The following is a 26,816-nucleotide window of genomic DNA, read 5'->3' as shown; positions in this document are numbered from 1 at the left end:
GGTGACCTTCTAAAATTCATGTTGAAGCTTAATCCCCAATGAGGTGATATTAAGAGGTGGGGCCTTTTGGGGAAGTAATTAAGTGATGAGGGCTCTGCCCTTATGAATGGATTCATGTCTTATAAAAGGGCTGGAGAGGAGTCTATCATGGTAGCTTGGACTGGTCAGGCAGCCTTGAGAAGGGTGGTCTTGGGATGCCATCTGAAGTCGGCTACAGTGGTCGGAGTGTGGGCTCCAGTGCAGGGGCCTGTGCAGAATGTCAGATATTTAGCTTCCTGTGGTATACTGATGAGCAGAACTCTTCTACTACATACCTCAATTTTGCCTAAGGAGATATGTGCAAGAACTTTCTTCAAAATTGCGGCACCATTAATAAACAAAAGGAAAGAATATTCAGAGAGAAGAATTTTAAGACATTCAAGAAACATGAAGGAAATGCATGATCTAGTATCAGGAATAGAGGATTACAAGCATTTCATTCCTTGGTGTAAAACATCAAATGTAGTATCAAAGACATCCGGATATTGTAAAACACAATTAGAAATTGGGTTTCCACCTGTGTTGGGGCAATATACATCAGTAGTAACCTTGGTGAAACCTCATTTTGGAAAGGCATCCTGTATTGATGGGAAACTTCTCGATCATTTGGAGACTGGTGTTTTAGCCCAGGTCTTCCAGGCTACTGAAAAATGTGTACCTCTGATTTTTCAATTTCTTTTGAATTGCAATCTCTTCTACACTCTCAGCTTGCCACATTGTTTTTTGATGAAGTTGTAAAGCAGATGGTAGCTGCCTTGAAAGAAGAGGATGTAAGTTGTATAGTCCAGAAATAAATATACCTCAGGAGTTAATGCTTCATGAAGTTCATCACGCATAAAGGGAAAAAACAACTGGTGTCACCTACTTGTAACTTTAGTTTGTTCACTTTAGGAAGGATTTTTATGATGTTTTCAGAAGTCAGAAAGCATCTGTTAAACCCAGCTTTGGTTATAAACTTGCACCATTGAAAACTTTCACATAGAATATAGATTCACTTGTACAGACATTATCATTTTCTGCATTTACAATAATGGGATGCCATCACTATTGCTAGAATACTGACATCATTCTTCTAAGCAGAAATTGAAACTGTAAATTTAAATCTTTTAATTATCAACTACCTGAAAGAGGTTAAGATATTCACACAGTATATATTACAGCAACCATATCACATTTAAGTTATTAAATTCAGACTATTTGTAACTTATTGTGATAGGGCCTGCCAAATGGCTTAGGGTATTTGAGTAATCATCACATATTTAAAGTAAAAACTTTGACTTAAAAACACTGTTAATGAAGGTTCTCTGGCACTTTTGGTATTTTAAAAATTGTTTTGTGAGTAGTAGATAATTCAGTGCCATAGTGCGGTTAGCTCCCAGATAAACAATGAATTTTTTTATTTTTATTTTTATTATTTTTGGTGATGGATCCAGAGCTAAGCTACATTTCTAGTAGTTTGCCACTTTCTCCTATGTATTCTGGCTGCTCTGTCAATATGCTAATTGTGTGTCAAATTTTGTCTACAACAGCAGGCAACAGATGAAGATAAGTTGATTGATATGTATCCAGCACTATGCATCCCTATTTTTCAATTTATTGTGTGTATTCACTTTCAATAATGTGTTTCAAACTGATATAGATATAAATATATATTATATATATTTTATAATATATTATATTTTATTATATATATTATAAAAATATATAATATATTATAAAATATATATATCTTTTTTTTTTTTTTTTTGGTAGAGATGGAGTCTTGCTCTGCCGCCCAGGCTGGAGTGGAGTGGTGGAGTGGAGTGGCACGATCTCGGCTCACTGCAACCTCCGCCTCCTCGGTTCAAGCAATTCTCCTGCCTCAGCCCCCTACGTACCTGGGATTATAGGCACACGTCGCCACGCTCAGCTAATTTCTTTTGTATTTTAGTAGAGACAGGGTTTCGCCATGTTGCCCAGGCTGGTCTCAAACTCCTGAGCTCAGGTAATCCACCCACCTCGGCCTCCCAAAGTGCTAGGATTACAGGTATGAGCCACTGCGCCTGGCCTCAAACTGATTATTTTTAAAAAACAACATAAGGACTGAAGTAGTAACTTAATAATGTTAACTTATTTATTTTTTGTACAGTTAAAAAAGGGGCTAGAGAAAACTAGTTTAGGCGCTTTTTTGCGCTGCTGCCTTCCATCATGGGAAGACATAGCATTTGTCTTTTTTAACCTTGTGAAGATGCAGCATGAAAGCCCTCATCAGACACAATGCCAGAACCTTGATCTTGGACTTCTCAGCCTTCAAAACTGTGAGAAGTAAATTTCTATTATCTATAAATGACCCAGACTGTGGTGTTTTATTATTGCAGTAAAAATGGACTAAGACAGAGACCACTAAATATTTAGTAAAGAAAAGTCTTTCTTACTATACTTCTACCTCAAAAATTCTATGACCAAAATTAATTTATGTTTCCAGATCATCTGCATTGTGGTTAATCTCTGCATATTTAGTGGGAGTGAAGACTACCGCTTCAATCTGGTTAGTACATTTTTTTAGTTCAATAATTAACAGAGCCAGACAACAAGTCAAATGGAAAGTGAAGTCATTAGGTGGGGTGAAGTGATGTGAAATCTGAGTGTTTTCTCTCCTAACCTCCTGGATGGGAGCTTGACTCCATTTGTCTGACTGGCAAATTGATGAGCTAATAAAAGAGCGTTTGTTGAATAGCTCTGTAAATAACAAAACCTACTCCTACTACCTGCTTGAAAATGATGTATTTTTCTTTATTAAACAAAATATTAAATGCTTTTATTAAACAAGATATTGTTTTCTTTATTAAACAAGATATTAAATGAAAATGCTGTATTTTTCTTAAACAAGATATTAAATTATTTTTGCAAAATCATCAAAGAATGTATAGTTATCCTAAAGTTTCTGTACTAGACAATCACATTGGTACAGACAGAAAACAAAACTTCCAGATTATAACATTTAGAAATGTGTTACAAACTTGTAAATTTGTAACAAGGTAGCTAAACAATGGTTTATTTTGACTATTCTGCTTACAGTGAAGGTGTCAATATTCACTTCATGGTAATGATATTAAACTTTCAACCGATGTTGTTTTATAGTTTCTTATTTTTAAATGGACATAGGAGTGTGATGGTGCTAAAAATATGCTATATTTAGATGTCTCTGTAACCCATCAGTTGGAATAGGTCGGGTTATATACAGTAACAAATACCCCAACATGTCAGTGGATTGAAATGACAAAGCTTTAATTTTTCATTCTGTTGCATGTCCATCACGGGTGGCCTGAGGGCTCCACTCCGTGCTATCTCCTTATTCCAGGATCCAGGATGACAGGGCAGCCACCAACTTTGCCAGTTGCTATGGCAGAAGAAAGTTCTCTGGCTCAGAAGTTACACATGTCACTTTTAATCAAAACTTGCTGGCAAGAACTAATATAGTCTTACTCAACGATAGCTGTGAAGTGCAATTTCATCATGTGCCCAGAAGGCAGAGAGCTGGAAATATTTGGTGAACAGAACTAATGACTGTCACAGTTACCCAAAAAATTGCTCTATTATGGTTTCATATATCTTTGTTTTCTCTGCCTGACTAAACTATGAAATCAGAATCTACAACTTGAAAGGTTCCCAACAAATTCTTTTGATTCACTGATTCTACATAGATAGATGAGTTCAATATAAAGTGTGATTTAAATAAATAAATTATGTCCTCTTAGAACTTCCCCCCAATACTAAATATATAGATGCTCCTTCACTTATGATGGGTTACATCCCAATAAAACCATCACAAATTGAAAATTCATAAGTAAACAATTATAACAAGATTCTGTTATAAGCAACAAATTATAACAAGATTCTGTTATAAGCAACAAATTATAACAAGATTCTGTCATAAGCAACAAATTATAACAAGATTCTGTCATAAGCAACAAATTATAACAAGATTCTGTTATAAGCAACAAATTATAACAAGATTCTGTTATAAGCAACAGAAAACACACAAAGACACTAGGTTAGGTATATTAAATAGGAAACGGTAACTTATACAGAAAAGGAATTTCTTTATTAAAGTTCTGGATCCTGGGAAGTCTAAGGTTGAGGGGCCACATCTGGAGAGACCATTTGTGTGGGTGAAGCCTCTGTAGAATCCTGAGATTGTTCAGGGCATCACATGGCAAGGGGGCAGAGCATGCCAGCTCAGATTTCTCTTCTTCCACTTCTTCTTCATATAAAGCCATCAGCCTCATTCCCATGATAACCCATTAATGCATTAATCCATTCATAAATGAATGGATTAATCCCTTCATTAGGGTAAAGCCCTCATAACCCAATCACCTCTTAAAGGTCTCACCTCTCAATACTGACACATTTGGGATTAAATTTCATCATGGATTTTGGAAGAAACAAGTATTGAAACCATACCATCTACCAAACATCATAGCTTAGCCTAACCTATCTTAGAAATGCTCAGAGCACTTTCTGTACAGTATTTAATAAAATACATGAGTTATTCAACACTTTATTATTAAAATAGGCTCTGTGTTAGATGATTTGGCTCAGCATCTTGAGAAGTATTGTACCACATATCGCTAGTCCAGGAAAAGACCAAAATTCAAATTCAAAGTAGAGTTTCTACTGAATGTATATTGCTTTTGTACCATCATAAAGTCAAAAAATCCTAAGTCAAGACATTGTAAATCAGGGACTGTCTGTATTTAAATCCAGTTCTGGGATCATACTAAAATTGAGCTAAGAGCCCAGGGTGGAATCACCTGGGTATCAAATCCAGGTATAATCAACAAAATAGTTATTCAAATACCAACTGTATTCATTTTTCCACAAATGCTACAATCCATTAAAGAATCATGCATGTAAATCTGACACTACAATAATCCCTTTCTTTACTTTCATTGCATTTGCTGTGTAAATCTACACATTAGGAACCATCCACACATTGCTGAAGAGAAACAGCCACTCAGGCTGTCTGTGCTCACTTTAAGATCATGGTCATAAATCCAAAATGTCTAGGACTCTCCAATCTTTATCTCCATACCTCATTTGTCGCAGGAATTCTAGATTCATATATATCTTGGTATCTCTGCTGTGATGTCTGTTAAGTTTCTAAAACCTAACCTGGGCCGGGCGCGGTGGCTCACGCCTGTAATCCCAGCACTTTGGGAGGCCGAGGCGGGCGGATCACGAGGTCAGGAGATCGAGACCATCCCGGCTAAAACGGTGAAACCCCGTCTCTACTAAAAATACAAAAAAATTAGCCGGGCGTAGTGGCGGGCGCCTGTAGTCCCAGCTACTTGGGAGGCTGAGGCAGGAGAATGGCGTGAACCCGGGAGGCGGAGCTTGCAGTGAGCCGAGATCCCGCCACTGCACTCCAGCCTGGGCGACAGAGCGAGACTCCGTCTCAAAAAAAAAAAAAAAACCTAACCTAGCCAAAACAGAACCATCTATTTTCACGACCTGCAAAGCTGTTTCTTTCTGAGTTCTTCCCATGTCTGAAAGCTGCACCATTTACCCAGTTTTTCAAGCTAAAATATAGGAATCCTCCTGATTCCTCTCTCTCCCTTATTCTAAATCAAACCTACTAGCAAGTCTTGGGAACTTTACTGCTAAAACATATGCATGACCTAAGAATTCTTCACTAGGTCCTCTATTAGCCTACTCTAAGACCAACTTCCACTTGGACTACTGTTAAAACCTCCTAACTGATCTGTCTGTTATCACAAGCTCCCTACTTCCAAATCCATTTTCCACACAGTGATAACTCCTTACTTCCAAATCCATTTTCCACATACTTATAATAGCAATCTTTTAAAAACAACATCAGTCCATGTCATTGCCCTTAAAATTTACCATTATACTTTGAATAAAATTTAAAGACCATTGGCCCTCAAAGCTTATTTCACTGATACATACATCACAGACCACTCCCTCTCATTCCCCTACATGGTACACATTTCTACTCCTTCAATACAATGGATTTGCTCACCTGAGGGCCTTTGCATTACCTTTCTTTCAATCTTTGCAGGATGTCTGCTTGTCATTTAGGCTCAGCTTAAATGCCAATTTCCTGACCATTCTATATAAAAAGGAACCACCTCATCACTATCTTTTGCATCACCTTAATTATCTGCATATTTCTTTATTATTTTACAATGTGTCCATGTTTATTTATTCTTTTTCACTTGTTTCACACCACTAAAACATAATCTCAGCTGTTTTGCTCCCCACCATGTCTTCTATCCTCTGTGCCTAAGTCACTGTCTGGCTCACATTAGGTACTCAGCAAATATTTGTTGAAAAGATGCTTATGATTTCAAAATACACAAAGTACATGGCATGAGCAGGGAAGGTACAAAAGTTACATAACACAACACTTGATAATTTGTAATTATTCTGGAATTTCAGATGATAAAAATTAGATTATAAATTATTAAACATAACAAAGACAAATGCTTTTGTAGTGTAATTTTTCCACAAGTAATTAACCTGACTTGGAAGACAGTTTACATTCAAACCTAGACAGTTGAGTACTGGAAAGGGAAAACAGAATGAACATGAGCAAGAGTTGGGGCATTTACCAATACTGAACACTTATCATGTGCCTGGCATAATATAATTGTCATGTCTTTAATTTTAACGAGGTAGGTATTGCTATTCCCATTTTAGAAATTATAATATTGAGGTGTAGACTCATTAAGTAGCTTGCTCACATAGTGGTGAGCCCAGACACAGGAGCAGCAGTATCTACAACTAGAAAAGTAGTGATAACTCAGGAATAAAAGGTGTAACGGCCACACGGAACAAAAAAAAAAGAGCCCATATAGCCAAGACAATACTAAGCAAAAAGAACAAGGCTAGTGGCACCATGCTACCTGACTGCAAACTATACTACAAGGCTACAGTAACCAAAACAGCATGGTACTGGCACCAAAACAGATATATAGACCAATGCAACAGAACAGAGGCCTCAGAAATAACACCACACATCTACAAGCATCCAATCTGTGACAAACTTGACAGAAACAAGTGAGGGGGAAAGGATTCCCTATTTAATAAATGGTGCTGGGAAAACTGGGTAGCCATATGCAGAAAACTGAAACTAGATCCCTTCCTTACACCTTATACAAAAATCAACTCAAGATGGATTAAAAGACTTAAACGTAAAACCTAAAACTATAAAAACCCTAGAAGAAAACCTAGGCAATACCATTCAGGACATAGGCAAAGACTTCATGACTAAAACACCAAAAGCAATTGCAACAAAAGCCAAAATTAACGAATGGGATCTAATTAAACTAAAGAGCTTCTGCACGGCAAAAGAAACTATCATCAGAGTGAACAGGCAACCTACAGAATGGGAGAAAATTTTTGCAATCTATCCATCTGACAAAGGTCTAATATCCAGAATCTACAAGGAACTTAAACAAATTTACAAGAATAAAACAACCCCATCAAAAAGTAGGCAAAGGATATGAACAGACACTTCTCAAAAGAAGACATTTATGCAGCCAACAGACATATGAAAAAAAGTTTATCATCACTGGCCATTAGAGAAATGCAAATGAAAACCACAATGAGATACTATCTCACTCCAGTAAGAATGGTGATCATTAAAGTCAGGAAACAATAGATGTTGGAGAGTATGTGGAGGAATAGGAATGCTTTGACACTGTTGGTGGGAGTGTAAATTAGTTCAACCATTGTGGAAGACAGTGTGGTGATTCCTCAAGGATCTAGAACCAGAAATACCATTTGACCCAGCAATCTCATTACTGGGTATATCCCCAAAGGATTAAAAATCATTCTACTATAAAGACACATGCACACTTATGTTTATTGCAACTCTATTTACAATAGCAAAGACTTGGAACCAACCCAAATGCCCATCAATGACAGACTGGATAAAGAAAATGTGGCACATATACACCATGGAATACTATGCAGTCATAAAAATTAAGGAGTTAATGCCATTTGCAGGGACATGGATGAAGTTGGACACTATCATTTTCAGCAAACTAACAGGAACAGAAAACCAAACACTGCATGTTCTGACTCATAAGTGGGAGTTAAGCAATGAGAACACATAAACACAGGGAGGGGAACATCACATACTGTGGCCTGTCGTGGGGTGGGGGGAAAGAAGAGGGAAAGCATTAGGACAAATACCTAATGCATACGGGGCGTAACACCTAGATGATGGGTTGATGAGTGTGACAAACCACCATGGCACATGTATACGTACCTATGTAACAAACCTGCATGTTCCGCACATGTACCCCAGAACTTAAAGTATAATACATAATAATAATAAAAAGGTGTAACAACAAGGGAACACCCCACACTAACAGAAGTGTAGTATCCCATTATTCTCTGTAAAGACCACACCATGTCTGAGATATAAACAGGGTTTGGGGGGGTATGACTTTAATGGAACACTGGAAAATTAAATGCATTCAGTGAAAAGCAAATCCAAATAAGAGACTGATATGTGACAACAATATTATACACAATAATGTTAAAAACTTAGGCTCTTTTAGCTTGCAGAAGAAAAACTCCGGAGTATAAAATGGTCTTCGAGTTAAATAGAATTATATCTAATTTAGTGATAGAGTTTTAATTGTAGGTCTTACTGTGAAAATCAAATTATCCTGAAAAATCCTTAGGAAAATACCATAGTCCAGCATGTTACACAAATTTCAATTGGTCCAGCACCCCAGGATCAACAGGTTTCCTCCTATTTTAGGATTTATGGCTATTTGTTTTCCATGAAGCACTAGAAAATGTTACATGGTTGCCTTGTGTTTAGTTGCATGTAAAGGTTTATCTTTAAATGCAGTGCTCACATAATAGAAAGATAGCGGGAACTCAAACAGCTAGGGAAAGGAGATATATGTTTCCCATTTCATTTTCACTCCTGGGCATATGCTGGACTAGAATGCCCAGCACTATTTAAATTGTTCCCTTTTCTCTCTCTCTCTTCCCTCCCACTTTTTATGTAGGAGAGGGGAATAGAGAGAATATGATGCATTTGCATAAATTTTATGTACTCAACATGACTCTATTTTATATTAGTAAATTTAATGTAGAAGATTTATCTGATATAATACAGAAGGCAAAACTGTGGTCAAAGAGTAGACATTACCAGGTAAAATAGGGTTTCATTTAAAGTAATATGTCTTACTGTCCCACAAAGCATTTATATAATGGTTACATGCCATGTATTATTATTTTGGATTAGATAATTAATAAATTCCATCCCAATATTATAACAATACTTTTGTGGAACAAGTAGACAAAATAAAACACAAAAATAAGAATGACTTTATGCTATTTTAGATTGACATTATTATTTCCCTTATTGCTTGTAATTCAAATGGGCGTATAATTAGTAATAAATTTAGGATTCTTAGAGTACATAATAATCTATGATATTCCAAACATTCAGAATGAATGAGTTGCTGGATTCAATTCCTTATCATTATAAATTATTTCAAATGTAGGACAGGATTACAATAATTTTCAAGTTTCAAAAAATGCCAAAGGCAGTAAGCAATTAAGTAAAATAATATAAATGTCAAGAGAAATAAGAATTTTCAAAATTTCAGGTAACTTCAACCAACAGAAAACTTCAATCAGGTTCATGGTGCCTGTGAAAGACAATCCAGGAATGCATTTTAGTTAGTAGTTGATTAAATGGGCTAAATAAAACCCCTTCTGTCTTCCTATACATGGCAAAACCCCATCTTTACTAAAAATACAAAAATTAGCTGGGCATGGTGGCGGGCGCCTATGATCCTAGCTACTTAGGAGGCTGAGGCAGGAGAATCGCTTGAACCCAGGAGGCAGAGATTGCAGTGAGCTGAGCTCTTGCCACTGCATTCCAGCCTGGGTGACAGAGTGAGACTCTGTCTCAAAAAAAAAATATATACATATATATATGTATATATTTTTTTTTTCGAAAAAATGAATAAATCCCACAATTTGTTTCAGGATGATGCAGGGGCAAGGTCATTCAGAGCATGTAACCTATGGTAATGAGTTTAGACTAAGTACAATGGGAAGGCACTGGAATACTCTAGGAAAGGGATGGAAAGTCTGGAGACATGCGGAGAAGTATAAAGATATAATCCAATTTGTGTTTTCAGAAGTTCACTATGTGGAAAACAGTTTAGAGGTCAGAGAAGTGGAAATGGGAAAAAAAGGGAGTAGGCTGCAGTCATGCATGCAAAAGGATTATGGCTTAGACTAGGTTAGTGGCAGCAGAAGTAGAAAGCATGAGATTAAATTCTAAGATATTTTAGAAGCATGAAGTATGAGACTGACAAATGGAGTAGAGCTAGGCATGAGAGAAAAGAAGAAGCTAAAGATAACTCTTAAATTTAAGGCTTTAGTTGCTGTATAGACCAGTGGTCCCCAACCTCTGGTCCATGGCCTAATAGGAAGTGGGCTGAAAGGCAGTAGGTGAGTGGTGGGTGAGTAAGTAAGCTTCATCTGTATTTACAGCCGCCTCCCATCACTCACATTACCACCTGAGCTCCACCTCCTGTCAGATCAGCAGCAGCATTAGATTCTCACAGGAGCACAAATCCTATTGTGAACTGTGCATGCGAGGCATCTAGGTTGTGTGCTCCTTATGAGAATCTAATGCCTGCTAATCCGTCACTGTCTCCCATCACCCCCAAATGGGACCATTTGTGAGGTGAGGAAAACAAGCTCAGGGCTCCCACTGATTCTACATTATGGTGAGTTGTATAATTATTTCATTATATATTACAATGTAATAATTAAAGAAATAAAGTGCACAATAAATGTAATGTGCTTGAATCACCCCCAAACCATCCCCCCACCCACCCCAGGTCCATGGAAAAATTGTCTTCCACAAAACCAGTCCCTGGTGCCAAAAAGGTTGGGGACCTCTGGTACAGATGTAGTACCATTTTCCAAAAAGGGGAAGATTCCGCTGGGTTAGATCTACTAAATATTTTCTTTCCCGTATTATACAAAAGGCCTATTTATTACTTCATTTACTTGGTAATTATTGAATATCTACTATGTGTTAGGTTATGCTAGTGTATAATATTTTCTTTTTTGTAACTGTCTATTTTTACTGAATTCCCAATTTCAGGTTATTTTTTGAACTCTATCAAATGTAATATATTTTCTCACCTAGAGTTACTTATCTGTGCATCCATCCTTGGTTAATGAGAAAGAGTAGCAAATTTTTTCTTTGTTATTTGTGCCTCCCTCTACTATTCATTTTAATTGGGCATTCTAGATGTACTTGGAACTATTACACCAATTGGCCTCATTATCACATTGTACTGTAATTATTTATTGGTGTGTTTCTGAAATTACATCCTATCCTCCTTGAGGGAAAGCACCTGGTCTCTTTCGTTTGGTGCTATAGTCCCAGCATAGGACACAGTGCTTGGCACACAGTAGGTACATCATTACTATATTAAGGTGGAGATAAAAGGCAGAGGCCTATAACCATTGTCTAAGGATAATATGTAATGCCAAATTTTCAGTCCTATGATGGGTTTGTTTTCCTCTTCTGGAAGTTATTGGTGTATGTTCCTGACAGCTTAGATGGAAGACTCCAAAAATATACTTGAGACCCGAAAGACCATCTTATTATTCAGTGAGAACACTGAGATTTTCATCTGCCTTATTTGCCCACATAGCAGTTGAGAACAGATAAAATGCTCTCCAACAGTTCCTGTTTTATATGGTGCCATTTATTGCTTAACCCAAGATAAACTTCAATAGAAAATTATCATTTTCATGATTTCCTTGAAATGGGATATATAGGTCCATTTGGTTTTGTATTAATATCTCATTACTTCATTGGTTTGCTAAATTGATTTGTTCAATTCATATCTTATTCTCTAAAGTTGGGAAATTTCTAGAACATCATATATCATGGTCCTAGGGCAAATACTCTTTAAAATCAGCACTACATCCATAACAGAATGTGTCAGTGAAAAAGCTGATTTTCTCCGTATTCCATAAGGAGAATGTCATATAACCCCAAGTAAGAGAAACCCCATGCCTTCAGATCACAATCAAAACACATGTCCAGAGGAAATATTTCCTGTGGTTGGAGCAAACAAGAACCTCTATGACAAGGAAGGTTTTCAGAGGCTACAATACACCTTCCTGAGTAACCCTTCTTAGAGCACAATTTGAAGAAAGCTTGCTGATAAATTACTTATAGGTGCAATTAAGTTCAAAAATGAAATAAATGAAATGATGTAAAATGATATAATATCAATGCATCACAATATATATATTTGAGTAGATAAATATAGCAGCATGGAAAAGGGAGCTTTTCCAGTCTTTTGAGAAGTCAATCCCCATGACTTGTTTTGTTTATCCATCTTTTGTGGTAGGTTGATTTCTAAAGTAAGATAGATGATTTATTTTGGTAAAGACTAAGTTTACCAAATAGCTTTCAATAACTGATGAGGCTTCCCAGATCTCTGGTAGTAAGAGGATAGCAACCTCGAATGTTTCTCAATTCATCCCTGCTGTTCCTTCCAATCACATTCACTATTACACCAATTACAGTCACTATTCTTCAGGTAACTCTTCCTGGATTACTACTAGAGTATCTTCCTATCTTCACTGCCAACCCGTAAACTTTCCTTCCATCCAATATATGGTTTCCAGGAAAATTTTTGTAAAGCTCTGTTCATTATGCCATTATTTGGTTCAAAACCTTTTAACAGTTCTTGTAGCATTCATAAAAGAAGTCCAAATAAATAAGTCTCTTTGTGCTCTACGTTCTGCCTACCTTGCCAGCTTTATTCATATTTCTAAGCACCTCAATGATACAGGCATTTGTCCTCAATCTTTCAGACTTTCTCCATGCGTTTGTTTTATACAATCTGTTCCCCTGATAGGATAGCCCTTCTTTTTAGTAAGGGACTATCCCAGATTTCTCTAACAAAGAGAACAAAACAAAAACAAACCACCACCATGGCTTCAATCAAGCTAGACATTTATTTTTCTCACACGACAGTCCAGAGGTAGCTGGGTGGTCCATTGTGGGTATGCTGCCCTGCTCCCTGAGACTGTCCAGGGACCATGATTCCTCCTATCTTGCTTTCCCATCTCCTACCATGGTTTCCTTAAATGTTAAATGGCTGAGAAGGAAGAAAGAGACATAGGAATGTATGCCCAATCGTTTTATGGGCAAGATCCCCAAATTGCCCATATCATTTCCATTTATATCTCATTAGCAATGGCTTTGTCACATGGCCACCCATCACTGCTAGTGAGGCTGGGAATTGTAGCCTCTAGGTTGATAGGCACATGCACTGTTAAACCCTGTGGATAGAGCAGGTGGTGGAAAGGAGTTCTGTTACTAAAGGAAATAAGGGGATGCTGTGGATGGGGTTCAATTAGAACTCTCTTTCTTTCAGTTTATACCTTTAGAAATAACATTCATCTTCAAAGCCAAACTCCAGTTACACCTCCTCAGGTGTTTACACCTTTAGAAACAACATTCATCTCCAAAGCCAGACTCAAAGAACACTTCCTCCTGGTCAGTCTTCTCTGATTTTATCCTATCTCCTTATTCCATATAGCTCCAAAAGGATTAGCAACTCTCTTTCCTCTGAAATTTCATAGCTTTCATACCTACTATGGAATTTGGCACAATCTAGACATATTATAGTTAGCCATATACATATTAAAGATAGTTTGTCAGAAAATGTAATGTGGCCCAAAAGCAAACAACGTATGTGTGCTATTCATTACTCCTCCTTCATTGTTCTATTCATACACAAAGACAAAGATAGAGGCTGTATCAACTTCTTATTCTGTATTTCTAGAAGTGATTTATACAGGAGTAAACATTCAATAATGGTGGTAATGATAACACTGCTTTATCCAATACACTGATAATTTATCTTCATTTACTACAAAAATAACATTTTACAAAGTAACATATACATATTTGATCTAGAGAAATAAGTTTTAGAAATTGTTTAGAAACAAAGTTATTGTAAAAGATTTTCAATTAAACAAAATACTATGTCCTAAAATTTTACTAAAAGTATTTTTGAATAATGATGTTTAAATAAAGCATGTTTGTGCTTTTGTCCTTTAGTAACAATTTTCCAAAAACAAGCAAAGTCCTTGAATAATACTAATGGATCATTATATATTTTTAATTTCTTAGGTTTATCTTTTATTCTCATATCTGATTTCTTTCTTCCATTTGCTGACATCTGTTACTTTGGGGGTTCATATCTTCTTATTTTGGCATAATTAGTTTATACTTTTCAGATAACATGAAACAGTCTATATTTCTAGTGGGTAAAATATTTTATTTTATTTCATAATTTTTACTACGGACCAAATACTTACTTTACATTGAGTAACACATCATACTAGATGATTTAAGTTACAGAATTTCACTGTTACAGTGTAAATTTTGGATACAGTATACCAAAAAATATATACCTCCTATTTTTCCTTTAATACTGAACCATAAATTATGAGCGGGGAGTCATTTCCTTTGATTAATAACTTTGCCGGCCATGTATAGTGAATATTTACACATTATTCTATGTTGGTAGAGTGCTTAAAATGCCTGAAACAATAACTATTATCAAGCCAAATTTAGAGAAATTGTACATATCAAAGTCTTTCAAATGACAAGAGTATAACATATAGGAAACATACGATAAATCCCCTTTACTTAAAACTCAGAAAGATTATAAAAGTCTCCTATAAACATTTTTTTTAAAAACAGACATCTGAGTCTGTCAGTAATTTAAAATTTAAATGTACGTAATAGCCTAGGGGAATTGTAGTAAGGGTTGTTCCCAGGGTGTTATAAACATCGAAATATTTATTAAAACACCTATGTAAGCTCCAATGAAACATATTATCTTGAAATTATGTTAAAGTAGAACTTACAATTCATGCACTTACAAGACCAATCCTATGATACATTTAATAATCATGCTTTAAAAGGTCATAAATCTGTGTTTAATACAGAATACATTAAAAAAAAGTTTTTGTCCTTTTTGTATACTTAAAAAATCTATTCAGGCAAACATACTCTTAAAGTGTAACTGTTGATTTTATTGGCAAATCTATAATAATGCATATGATCAATCTTTATTGAATTATTTTGGGTCACAAACACAATTAATAAATCATCTTTGAAGTGCACTGACCATAATCAGTATACTCTGGAACAAGGCCAAGGGGCCATTAATCAAAATATGCAGCAAGCAAAGTGAGAGCCGCAGCCTGACCAGTTAGGTAAACATAGAGTGAAGCTAATAAAAACCTATCTCGTTTTAAAACCACCACCATGTTTACTTTTGCAACTAAGATAAACATTATGATAAAATTAAAGTTGTGTAAAAAATGAGGTTTGCTCATGATGACCAGAGTAAATATATAGCAATTGAACATTCATTTTATGTACCTAATTTGACATTTAAAAAGTCTATAGTTCAGGTACCAAAAATCTACAAAAATTGGATATTTGAATTTGATGATTATATTATCCATCTAAATTTAAAAAACATAATTTTCAAATACTTTGAGATTTAAACTTTGAATACATTGCTAGCAATTTTTAAGAATCAAGGTATGAAAATAAATTCTTTTTGAAAAGATGGAATGGTCAACTACCTCATTTTAAGTTGGCACATGCAATTTCATCTCCTTCTCTCTATATATGTATTTCTAAAATGAATTGGTAAACAACAACAACAAAAAACTCAAAAGGCAAACACTGTTGTGAGGGTACAAATTGTTATAGCCTTCCTGGAGAAATTCTGGCAAAACATACATACATGTATGTGTAATATATGTGTAATTCCATGTATAACTCTCTCTATATATAAAGTATTACATATCTCAAATTAATCAACTGCTTTTAAAACATAGTCTTCCAAAGATATTATTTTCCTCCCATATTACACCATATTGATTGCTAAATGGAAGAAAAAAAAAGTTGTGGGTTACAGCATAACTGGTGTGAGCCTAGTTTTGTCAATGAAGTGTGGAAGAGAGAGGGATCTGCAACGACACAGAGTACCAGGTCTCAACGGTGGTCATCTCCAGGTGGGTGGGATTACGAGTTTCCCATATGCTCATTCTTTTGTTTCTGTGGGTTTTCTGATTTTTCTGGAATGAGCATGAACTGCTTTTATAATTGGGAAACAAATAAAATAAAGTTCATTTTATTAAAAAATAAATGAATTAATACCAGACTCTGACCCCCTCACTGTTTTAATTTTTATAATTCATAACATTAATAATAAAAACATAGGAAGAAGATATCAGAAAGCAAACAAATAACTTTCTTCAAAACTCCATTAAAAAGAAGAATCTTTATTAAGAGTGAATATTGCCTAAACTCTATGTGACTGCAACTGGGTTACTGTGGGGAAATGAGCTCTTTAGGACCCTGAAAAGCTTTAATAGATATAGTCACTTTGGTTTGGAAGCTACAAAAATTCTGATGCTTATAATAACTTCTCAAAACAAAAGTGCATGGATTGTGCAATTTCTTCAAGGATAATACTGTAAGCATCCGGCATAACAAAATAAAGAATTGAGCTTTTGTAGGTTCAGGAAGACAATACCTTATACAAACTCTATCAGTGGCACTGCACTCTATGGAGGTGGGGAAATACTGGGCTGAAATACGCTACATCTTTTTCTGCACCTTGTAGCCACAAGACTGTGATAAGAACGTTAGACCTAAAACCATAAAAACCCTAGAAGAAAACCTAGGCATTACCATTCAGGACATAGGCATGGGCAAGGACTTCATGTCTAAAACACCAAAAGCAATGGCAACAAAAGCCAAAATTGACAAATGGGATCTAATTAAACTAAAGAGCTTCTGCACAGCAAAAGAAACTACCATCAGAGTGAACAGGCAACCTACAAAATGGGAGAAAATTTTCGCAACCTACTCATCTGACAAAGGGCTAATATCTAGAATCTACAATGAACTCAAACAAATTTACAAGAAAAAAACAAACAACCCCATCAAAAAGTGGGCGAAGGACATGAACAGACACTTCTCAAAAGAAGACATTTATGCAGCCAAAAAACACGTGAAAAAATGCTCATCATCACTGGCCATCAGAGAAATGCAAATCAAAACCACAATGAGATACCATCTCACACCAGTTAGAATGGCAATCATTCAAAAGTCAGGAAACAACAGGTGCTGGAGAGGATGTGGAGAAATAGGAACACTTTTACACTGTTGGTGGGACTGTAAACTAGTTCAACCATTGTGGAAGTCAGTGTGGAGATTCCTCAGGGATCTAGAACTGGAAATACCATTTGACCCAGCCATCCCATTACTGGGTATATACCCAAAGGACTATAAATCATGCTGCTATAAAGACACATGCACATGTATGTTTACTGCGGCATTGTTCACAATAGCAAAGACTTGGAACCAACCCAAATGTCCAACAATGATAGTCTGGATTAAGAAAATGTGGCACATATACACCATGGAATACTATGCAGCCATAAAAAATGATGAGTTCATGTCCTTTGTAGGGACATGGATGAAATTGGAAATCATCATTCTCAGTAAACTATCGCAAGAACAAAAAACCAAACACCGCATATTCTCACTCATAGGTGGGAGTTGAACAATGAGATCACATGGACACAGGAAGGGGAATACTACACTCTGGGGACTGTGGTGGGGTGGGGGGAGGGGGGGAGGGATAGCATCGGGAGATATACCTAATGCTAGATGACGAGTTAGTGGGTGCAGCGCACCAGCATGGCACATGTATACATATGTAACTAACCTGCACAATGTGCACATGTACCCAGAAACTTAAAGTATAAAAAAAAAAAAAAAAAAAAGACTGTGATAAGATTGTGTAGTCCTAGCTAATTAAATAAAAAACTCACTCTAAGGTGTGTGTGTTGTTTTGGCATCCAGTATTCACTTGAAATACTATTTAGTATTTTTATTGGTAAAAGCAACTTTACAACAAATTTTCTTTTATATTTGAAAGACAGTTTGTCTAGATACTTTGAAAGTTTACAAGATTAATAAAACAATTCATTATAAAGCTCTGTGAATTTAATAATTTATATTTATTTTATATCTGTATTCCTTTTACAGTGATTTATATTTGTTCTGAAGTCTCTAAAAGCTTTGCAGAGTATTTCAGGTATTAACTGAAGTCATTTCTCTCTGTATATTGAGTCAAAATAAAAGGAAAGCTTCCCCACCCCCCAAAAAAGTGGTTCTCAGATAAAATAAAATGCCCCAAATCCATTCCCACATATAATAGTGCACTCACAAATCTGGAACACAATTCCAAATATTTCAATTTAGAACTTTATGACCGATGTACTCCCTTCGCTCTGCACAAAACTATTTGTGTATATCTTTGTCTCTCAAAAGATTATAAACCCAGTTGAGGAAGTAACCAGGCACAAACTCTGGAATAAAACACCGGCTGTGCTGCTCTGGCAAAAGAACTATATCTTTATGAGCCTTGGTTGCTTTTCATCTGTAAGAAGGATAAATTAATACCTATCTTGTAGGGTTTGTGTGAGATTTAAATGAGAGATAACATATAAAGCACTTATCAAAATTCTGATTTATTTTTATATCTCTCTCTCCTTCTATACCTTGTCACTATAACAATGACTTAGGGTTGCAATAAATGTTCAACTAAATTTAAAAATTATTATGATTTTGTTTTATAGATAAGTATTTAGTTTTTCTCAGAATGCAAAATAACCCTGTGGTATTTATAAAGTACTTAATATGTTACATTGTAAAATACCTATAAACAGTTAAATTTAAAAAATGAATACTTTTCTCATGGATATTTCATATTTTTAATTGCTTCATGAATTTTAATCAATAATAGCTAATAAATGTGGAAGTATTTTATTGCTAAATCATATTCATGTTTTGAAAGTGGTGAAGAGTTAAATATACAATAGATCTATAAATATTGAGAGGGATCTTACAGATCATCTAGTATAATCCTTTCATTTTTAGATGAGAAAACTGAAACTTGGAAAGGTAAAATGACTTGCACAAAGTCTTGTAGACAAAAAAAAAAAAAAAATTAAGCCATAGTACTTATGACCACTCCTTCCCCTACTTTTGTTTCTTTTTTCTTGAGTTGCAGAGATAGAGAAGCTAAATAGTGGAATCACATGTAAGATGTCTGGTGGGAATGTTGGAAGGGACTGAAGGTCATGCAATCAGAAGGGCCTAGGAAACTTAAGTTTAGAGGTAGGGACTGATGTATTTTCACCCGTAAGTAGCAAACTAACCATATCTGCGTTTATTTGTGAGTCTACAGATAGGGTACATGACCTAATTGATGTTTATGTTTTTGATGACAAGCTGTCAGAGAAAAAAATCATGCTTCAGGAAGGGAGGAAAATAGGTAGCAGTTTTAATTTTAAAACTTAAAATAAGGGCTAGCCATTAGTAATTGAGAACGTCTTACTCTGAGGTTTTTTAAGAGCTAAGGCTTATTTTTGCTTTTGTTTTATAGAAGCTTCTTTTTTTCATTAAAAATATTGGGAAAGTACAACTAGTATTTAAAATTTTTAAGAGCCATAAAATTTCAGTCTCCTGTATTCAAAATGCAAAAAAAATCCTATAGTATAAAAAAATAAGAAAAAAATACATAATTTAACATTTTGTTTTATTTGAGCAAAAGAGGAGGCATTATACAGTAGGGTATCAACCACTCAACATCTGACTGATACATGCTAAATTTCTCTTAATATTTAAAATGCTCACTGACATCTAACAGGTGTTTTCATTTCTACTTAGGGGCAGTCTGCCTAAAGGGCCTACAATGATATAATTAGCAGACCGTTACCAAAGCTGATATGGTTTACATCAACTTTGTCAACTTTTAAAATGGTGAAAATATATAACATAAACATTGACATGATTACCTAAACATGGAAAAGAAAAGGAACATAATATTAATTGTCTGTATGTTTGGAGAAACAAACACATTATCTTTATTAAAAAGCTAAATAAAAATATTTAGTCTTGATTCAGAGCTAAACTTCTTTCATCTCTGTATCATGCATATCAGAAACCTGCTTAAGCAACACAGTGTACTCAGAAAATGTTAGCAACCTAAAACCTTACCTTTGGTTCACACATAGAGTGAAAAGACCTAAGATGCAGCTCTCCAACATAAAACCAATATTTCCTTCTTCCCGCAAACCATTAAGTCATTATCAGACAAAACAATTGGACTGAAAGTTCCATGAGGACAGGAGCTGTGTCTATTTTCTACTTTCTGGGATCCTCAGCATGATCAACATTATGCCTGGCACATAATTCAATTTCAACTCATTACTCACTTGTCTACTAATTGACTGAATGAAGTACTTAGTTTCTGGAACGTTTTAAACTGCTTATAATTTTATTCTTTCCCATAGTTTGGCTATTTCAATGTCTGTAAATTGAAAATATTTTTGGTTCACCGTATAAAAGAGATCACACTATGCCTTGAACTCTATGAGCTCTATCAAGGGGTTATAAGCTACGAATAAATTCAAATGATAAACACAAACCGGAAAGAATTTAGTGCACAATGGGTTTTTGCATATATTGTCTGAAGACATTAGGGATACAGCATAGTATGGAGATAGCATTTTTAAGTATATGTAGATCAGGCCAATCGTGGAGAGAACAAAAACACAATGATAGACAAAATAATCCCACTATACAATGTTTATACGCTAGAAACTAAAACATGTTCCCACTAGGCTGCCAGTTTCCTGATGGCATGAATTGTGCTTCTTTGCATCCTTATTGTCTATAACAGAATTTTAAAGCTTTTTGCTCTCAGGAATACTTTATACTTTAAAAAATTTTTGAGGGTCTCAAGAGTTTTGACTCCACATTTTAGTTTATGTAGACTATTTGCCATATTGAAAATTAAACCTGAGAAAATTTAAACAGATTCATTAATTCATTTAAAAATAACACAAATCCAGTATATGATAATATGAATGATATATTCTTTATGAAACGTATTTTCCAGAAAAAAATGTTATGAGGGCATTGTTTTATACTTTTCAAACCTGTTTGATAGCTGGTTTGATTGAAAACAGTTGGATTTTCACCAGCTTCTGCATTCAATCAGCAGTGAAATGTTATTTTAATTGAAGGATATAAGAAAATCCAGCCTCACACAGGTATGGAATTTAAGAAGGGACGACCTTATGGACCCCTACAAAGGGCCATTGGAAAACCCCAGGTACCCTCATTCCATCCTGTGAAAATCACTGAACTATAAAATCATCTGCCACAGCATCATCATTCAATAACTATTTACTGAATTAACAAAAACTTTAGAAAAAATAAATTTTCAGAGCATACATACACATACCCAAAGATACAAATGATTTGAACATTCATTTTGGATTAAACTGATAATATTCTTTATAAATGCTCATTGTTTTGCTGTAACGAAATATTAAGTGTTTCAACTTCGCAACTCATCACACCTAAATTGAAATACAGACTGATGCAGGGTAATCAGAACCAAAGAGTGAAAACAGTGAAAATAAAGTACACAATGCCAAAACTTGATAGAAATAAACAGATGATGAGAAGGAGACATTTTACTTGAAAAAAAATGCCAAGCATAACCAAATTAAATGGCTAATTTGAATGCCATACGGGTCTCTTTCAAGCAGTAAATTAGATTGAAACACTTTACTGAACACTAGTTGGATTCCAATATTTTTTGTATCCTACATGCCATTTCTAATTAATCTATAAAAACCATGAGAAAAAAATTTTTGCTTACGTTCTCAGCATTTCAGCTTTAAATATTAATAGAAATTAACCAAATACTGAAACAATACATTGATTCAAACATTTTACAATTCCAAAATGACATTTTCTTAAAAATAACTTTAAAAACGTTCAAAATGAAAACATAATTTTTAAGATCATATGCTAGATTTTCAAAAATGTCATCTCACTTCTTGGCAAAGAATAAAATGACTTACTTTTCCTTTTCTTGAAGCTGATTCTCCTGAGGAGCCATTTTAGGTTCTGTCCCAAGATTTCTTTGCATTCGCTGTCTCCTTTTTCTACTTGGTGCAATATCAGTGACATCAAGACTTGAAATAATGGAATCATCTTTACTTACAGCAGCTGAAATAAAATGAGATGAGAATGTGACCCAACAAAATTATGCACATCATTTGTAAGTATTAACTTGCTGTTTTAGCATTGACATAAGGTGACAATTAAAATATAGCAAAACTATTCTTTCAAATCTTTATGCAGATTTGTTGAATCAAGTCAGTTAGATGCCATATGATACTTTACTACCAACAAAAAACATTATGTATATTGTACACACGGAATAATTTGATCAAAATGATCTTTGATGCTGGGTGAACGTGTTCTTGGAGATTTAATGGAGATAGTATTTTTATTAGGATTGTAACTAGAAATCATAGCAACAAAAACAAAACTGCATAGTTTTTTTTTATTATCTTTTAAGTTCTGAGATACATGTACAGAACGTGCAGGTTTGTTACATATGTATACAAGTGCCACGGTGGTGTGCTGCACCCATCAACTTGTCATCTATATTAGGTATTTCTCCTAATGGTATCCCTCCTCTTGCTCCTCACCCACTGACAGGCCCCGGTGTGTGATGTTTCCATCCCTGTGTCCATGTGTTCTCATTGTTCAGCTCCCACTTATGAGTGAGAACATGCAATGTTTGGTTTTCTGTTCTTGTGTTAGCTTGCTGAGAATGATGGTTTTCAGCTTCATCCATATCCCTGCAAAGGATATGAACTCATCCTTTTTTTATGGCTGCATAGTATTCCATGGTGTATATGTGCCACATTTTCTTTATCCAGTCTATCATTGATGGGCATTTCGGTTGGTTCCAAGTCTTTGCTATTGTAAATAGAGCTGCAATAAACATACATGTGCATATGTCTTTATAGTAGAATGATTTAGAATACTTTGGGTATATACCCAGTAATGGGATTGCTGGGTCAAATGGTATTTCTGGTTCTAGATCCTTGAGGAATCACCACACTGTCTTCCACAATGATTGAACTAATTTACACTCCCACCAACAGTGTAAAAGCGTTCCTATTTCTCCACATCCACTCCAGCATCTGTTGTTTCCTGACTTTTTAATGATCACCATTCTAACTGGCATGAGATAGTATCTCATTGTGGTTTTGATTTGTATTTCTGTAATGGCCAGTGATGATAAGCTTTTTTTCATATGTCTGTTGACCGCATAAATGTCTTCTTTTGAGAAGTGTCTGTTCATATCCTTCGGCCACTTTTTAATGGGTTTTTTTTTTTCTTGTAAATTTTGTTTAAGTTCTGTGTAGATTCTGGATATCAGCCCTTTGTCAGATGGGTAAATTGCTACAGAATGGGAGAAACTGAGTCGATTTTGAATATATTGCCCAAAGCTTAATTTTTTCTCCCTTAAGCCTGTTATTTTTACTGTGTAATTTTGCAGAATGAGTGGTTTTTCAGGTACACATATATTACATTCTGGCAGAAAAGCTTGCATGTTGAGTTCTCACTCTGTGTAGTTCATGCTTTACTTGATCTCTACGAGACAACTTGGACACTGTTGAACACTCTACTGAAATTCCTCTCTTGATTTTTTTTTCTTAATAACTATCAATTTCCAGATCTTATGTTTTGGGCACTTTGCTATGGGTTTTCCATGTATTACCTTGTTAATCCTTAAAATTACTTCATAAAGTACTTATTATTACTATCTTCATTTTATTTATAAGGAAAACAAGGCTTCAGAGAGGTTAAGTGACTTTCCCAAATCACAAAGCCTTTATTCTTATATTTTGTCATTATGACAATTAAAAAATATTTTTTCCTAGTTGGTAAATTATTCTTTGATCAAATACTAAGTGAAAGCCCATCAAAGCATAGTTTACTTTCCAAAGCTGTTTAAATTTTAGGACTTTTTTTATTAGCCTCTAAAAATGTATGGGGAATAGATAAGGGTAAATTAAAAAGGAAGTTTTTTTTTTTTTTTAAACACATTCAAGCTGAAAGATTTCCCAATGCTGTTAAGCTAAGAGATGACTAATGAAAGTACAAGTATATGCTTGTCTATGAACAAAACTAGCAAAACTGTTAGAGGTAGAGGACATTTCAGTTATAGATTTGTAAACTGGAGAAAGATTATATTTAATGTCACAGCGGATATCTAGGAAAAAAGAATATTAAGTTTAAATTAAAATACAAGGCAAAATTTTTAAAAATAAAATTAGTGAAAATTTCTGCCATTCATTTCAGAATTCCAAATGATGTCTTACAAATTGGCAACCAAAAAGGATACTGTATTTGGGAAGTGATTACCTCATGTATTATAATGTCTGCAACTTACTTTAAAATACAATGTTACTAAAGGTATGTTAGTGAGGGTGGACTATAACCAAGATGTTTCTAGCATCTAATCAGGAATGCACCGGCCAGAAGCAGGCTGATGGGATCAGAAATCTGTACTCCTAAGGAGGCCACTCCAGGTACTTTTGTTATTCATATTTCAATCAATAACTGATGACTTACTAATCAGTATACTGAATGACAAAATGCATGCCTATTGATAAAAACAAAGCATGTAAACTAACTTGATGAATATTACATATGGGTTTTCATGAGTAAATTAAAAGTACTAGTGTTATACAGACTGGCTAAAATATTTTAGAAATACTGCCCATCATTTTATGGACAAGGTGTAAAAATCCCATGAGGCCTATTTACACCTAGAGATAACCTGCTAAATTTTTAAATGGTTCTGTGTCCAGCTATGAACCCTGAACAACTGTGGTTGTTTGAAGTCAGGAAGAATCATCATTCCTGCTCAGGAATCTTTACATTTGTCAAAAATGAACATTTTCTATGAGGTAGTGACTGGGACACCTAAAAGGACCGAGAGCTTGCAATTTTTTTTCAAACCTATAGGACAGGTTCATGAATTATTTTGTGCTTACTTACAAGTAAATATTTAGTTAATAATCGTATGTGTGGCAAAATTTAATTTGAGAATTTTATTAATTGCCCTGAAACAAAATTGTAGGAGAAGTGTCTAATGTTCTCATACTTCAAACTTCTTGGTGACTATCATTATTATACCACAAATAAACTGAAGTTGTGTGTGACCAAGTACTTCTGGCCAGTTCACCACATTATGATTCATTCCTCTTGATAATTACAGTTTAACCTTTCTATAAAATTGGCATGAAGAAAAAGGGCTAGCTGTATAAGCTTAGTTACAGTTTAAATGGAATACATCTTTTTTGGTTTGTGTTTGCACCATGGGAAACAGTGTTCCCCTCAGTTTTTCACATAAATGTAATAGCAAACCATATTGTAATAGATTCTCTTACTTCAAATATTTCTTTAAAATGAAGTTTCATTATCTATCTAGCCTTCAATAAAAGGCAAAAACAATCCATTCTATCCTTCTCTCTCCACCCTGAAACCAGGATAAAAAGGTACTACTCCAATACTTGGTACCTAAGTATTAAATTGCTCATCTCGAACATTTTTCAAATTTCTTTTCTTTTTTTTTTTCTTTTTTGAGACGGAATTTTGCTCTTGTTGCCCAGGCTGGAGCGCAATGGCGTGATCTCGGCTCACTGCAACCTCTGCCTCCTGGGTTCAAACAACTCTCCTGCCTCGGGCTCCTGAGTAGCTGGGATTACAGAAGCCTGCCACCATGCCCGGCTAATTTTTGTATTTTTAGTAGAGACACGGTTTCACCATGTTGGCCAGACTGGTCTTGAACTACTGAGCTCAGGTGATCTACCCACCTCGGCCTCCCAAAGCGCTGGGATTACAGGCGTGAGCCACCGCGCCTGGTCTACATTTTTCAAATTTCAACCCATCCTGCCTCTTTCCTCCAATTGTGATAATGTTTGGTCTTTTCATTGTCTTTGGTCTTGATGCTAAATACTACAATTCTGCTCTGAAATTAGCTCCCTTGAACAATGACTGTCGGTCTCCAAATGAGCAATGCTATTTCACACACAACAGAAGGGATCCCAACTATATCAATAGGAGGTCACAGATAGGAGTTCAAAAATGTCTATAATATTCATTACCTTATATATATATTTGAGTGCAATAATTCAAGTTTTCACTTTCAAGTCTGGCATCTCATTGTTAAAAAAATCAATTCGTATTAAGTGTATTAGGTTATATGTATTCATTTTAGATATGAGAGAGAACTTGAATAGAGTCGGAAAAAAATGGCAAATGTTCAAAGGGTAATGAGGAGGAGGGTGGCCTTGTTGTAATGGCATGCATGAAAGGTGCAGGAAATGAGACAGGATAAATATGGGCAGCAGAAAAGAAATGGAAGGAGTAAGAAGGCAGAGCGATATGTTAAATCAGCTTGCAAGTTTTCAAATGCAGGCAGAAAAGTATGGATTCGATATTGACTGGGGAGGTTTTTTTCTTAAGATTCCACCTCCAGAATTCTCAGTGTTTAATATTGCAATCATTTTTTTTTGTCACGACAACATGTCTTTTACCATTTCCAGGATTTTTTTTTTTAAATAGAAGACAAAAGAAAAAAAAAAAAACAAAAAACGATTGCCAATTAACTTACTACAGCTGGAATACTGATTGGTATGGCCGTGGGATGAATTTCAAGTTCTTGTTAGGTTCACTGCATCTTGAAAATGGGGAA

The 26,816-nt window shown here is 35.1% G+C and overlaps 1 protein-coding gene and 1 pseudogene across 13 annotated transcripts in view, besides 1 other annotated feature; one reads left to right on the top strand and one right to left on the bottom strand.

Moving 5' to 3' along the window:
• The window catches only part of XRCC4 (X-ray repair cross complementing 4), a 296,927-nt gene that overhangs the window by 93,683 nt on the left and 176,428 nt on the right, over positions 1-26,816 (bottom strand). For 11 of the 13 annotated variants that reach the window (XM_047417695.1, XM_017009827.3, NM_001318012.3 and 8 more), the window contains one exon: positions 22,114-22,261. In XM_047417695.1, the coding sequence (XP_047273651.1) occupies positions 22,114-22,261 (148 nt within the window). Of the gene's footprint in view, positions 1-14,390; positions 16,234-22,113; positions 22,262-26,816 lie in introns of those variants that run through there. The other 2 variants (XM_047417697.1, XM_017009828.3) reach the window with 1 other exon arrangement.
• COQ10BP2 (coenzyme Q10B pseudogene 2) lies at positions 139-1,071 on the top strand (annotated as a pseudogene).
• Positions 16,634-16,834: a silencer, noted in NCBI's record as "peak5318 fragment used in MPRA reporter construct". NCBI's record gives its function as "represses an SCP1 promoter by STARR-seq MPRAs in K562 erythroleukemia cells {active_cell/tissue: K562}" and the evidence as "EXISTENCE:reporter gene assay evidence [ECO:0000049][PMID:32103011]".

This window comes from Homo sapiens, chromosome 5 (assembly GCF_000001405.40).
Source record: "Homo sapiens chromosome 5, GRCh38.p14 Primary Assembly".
NCBI classification, from domain to species: domain Eukaryota; kingdom Metazoa; phylum Chordata; class Mammalia; order Primates; family Hominidae; genus Homo; species Homo sapiens.
The sequence above is the reverse complement of the archived record's forward strand: the minus strand, read 5'-3'. Positions and strand labels throughout refer to the sequence as shown.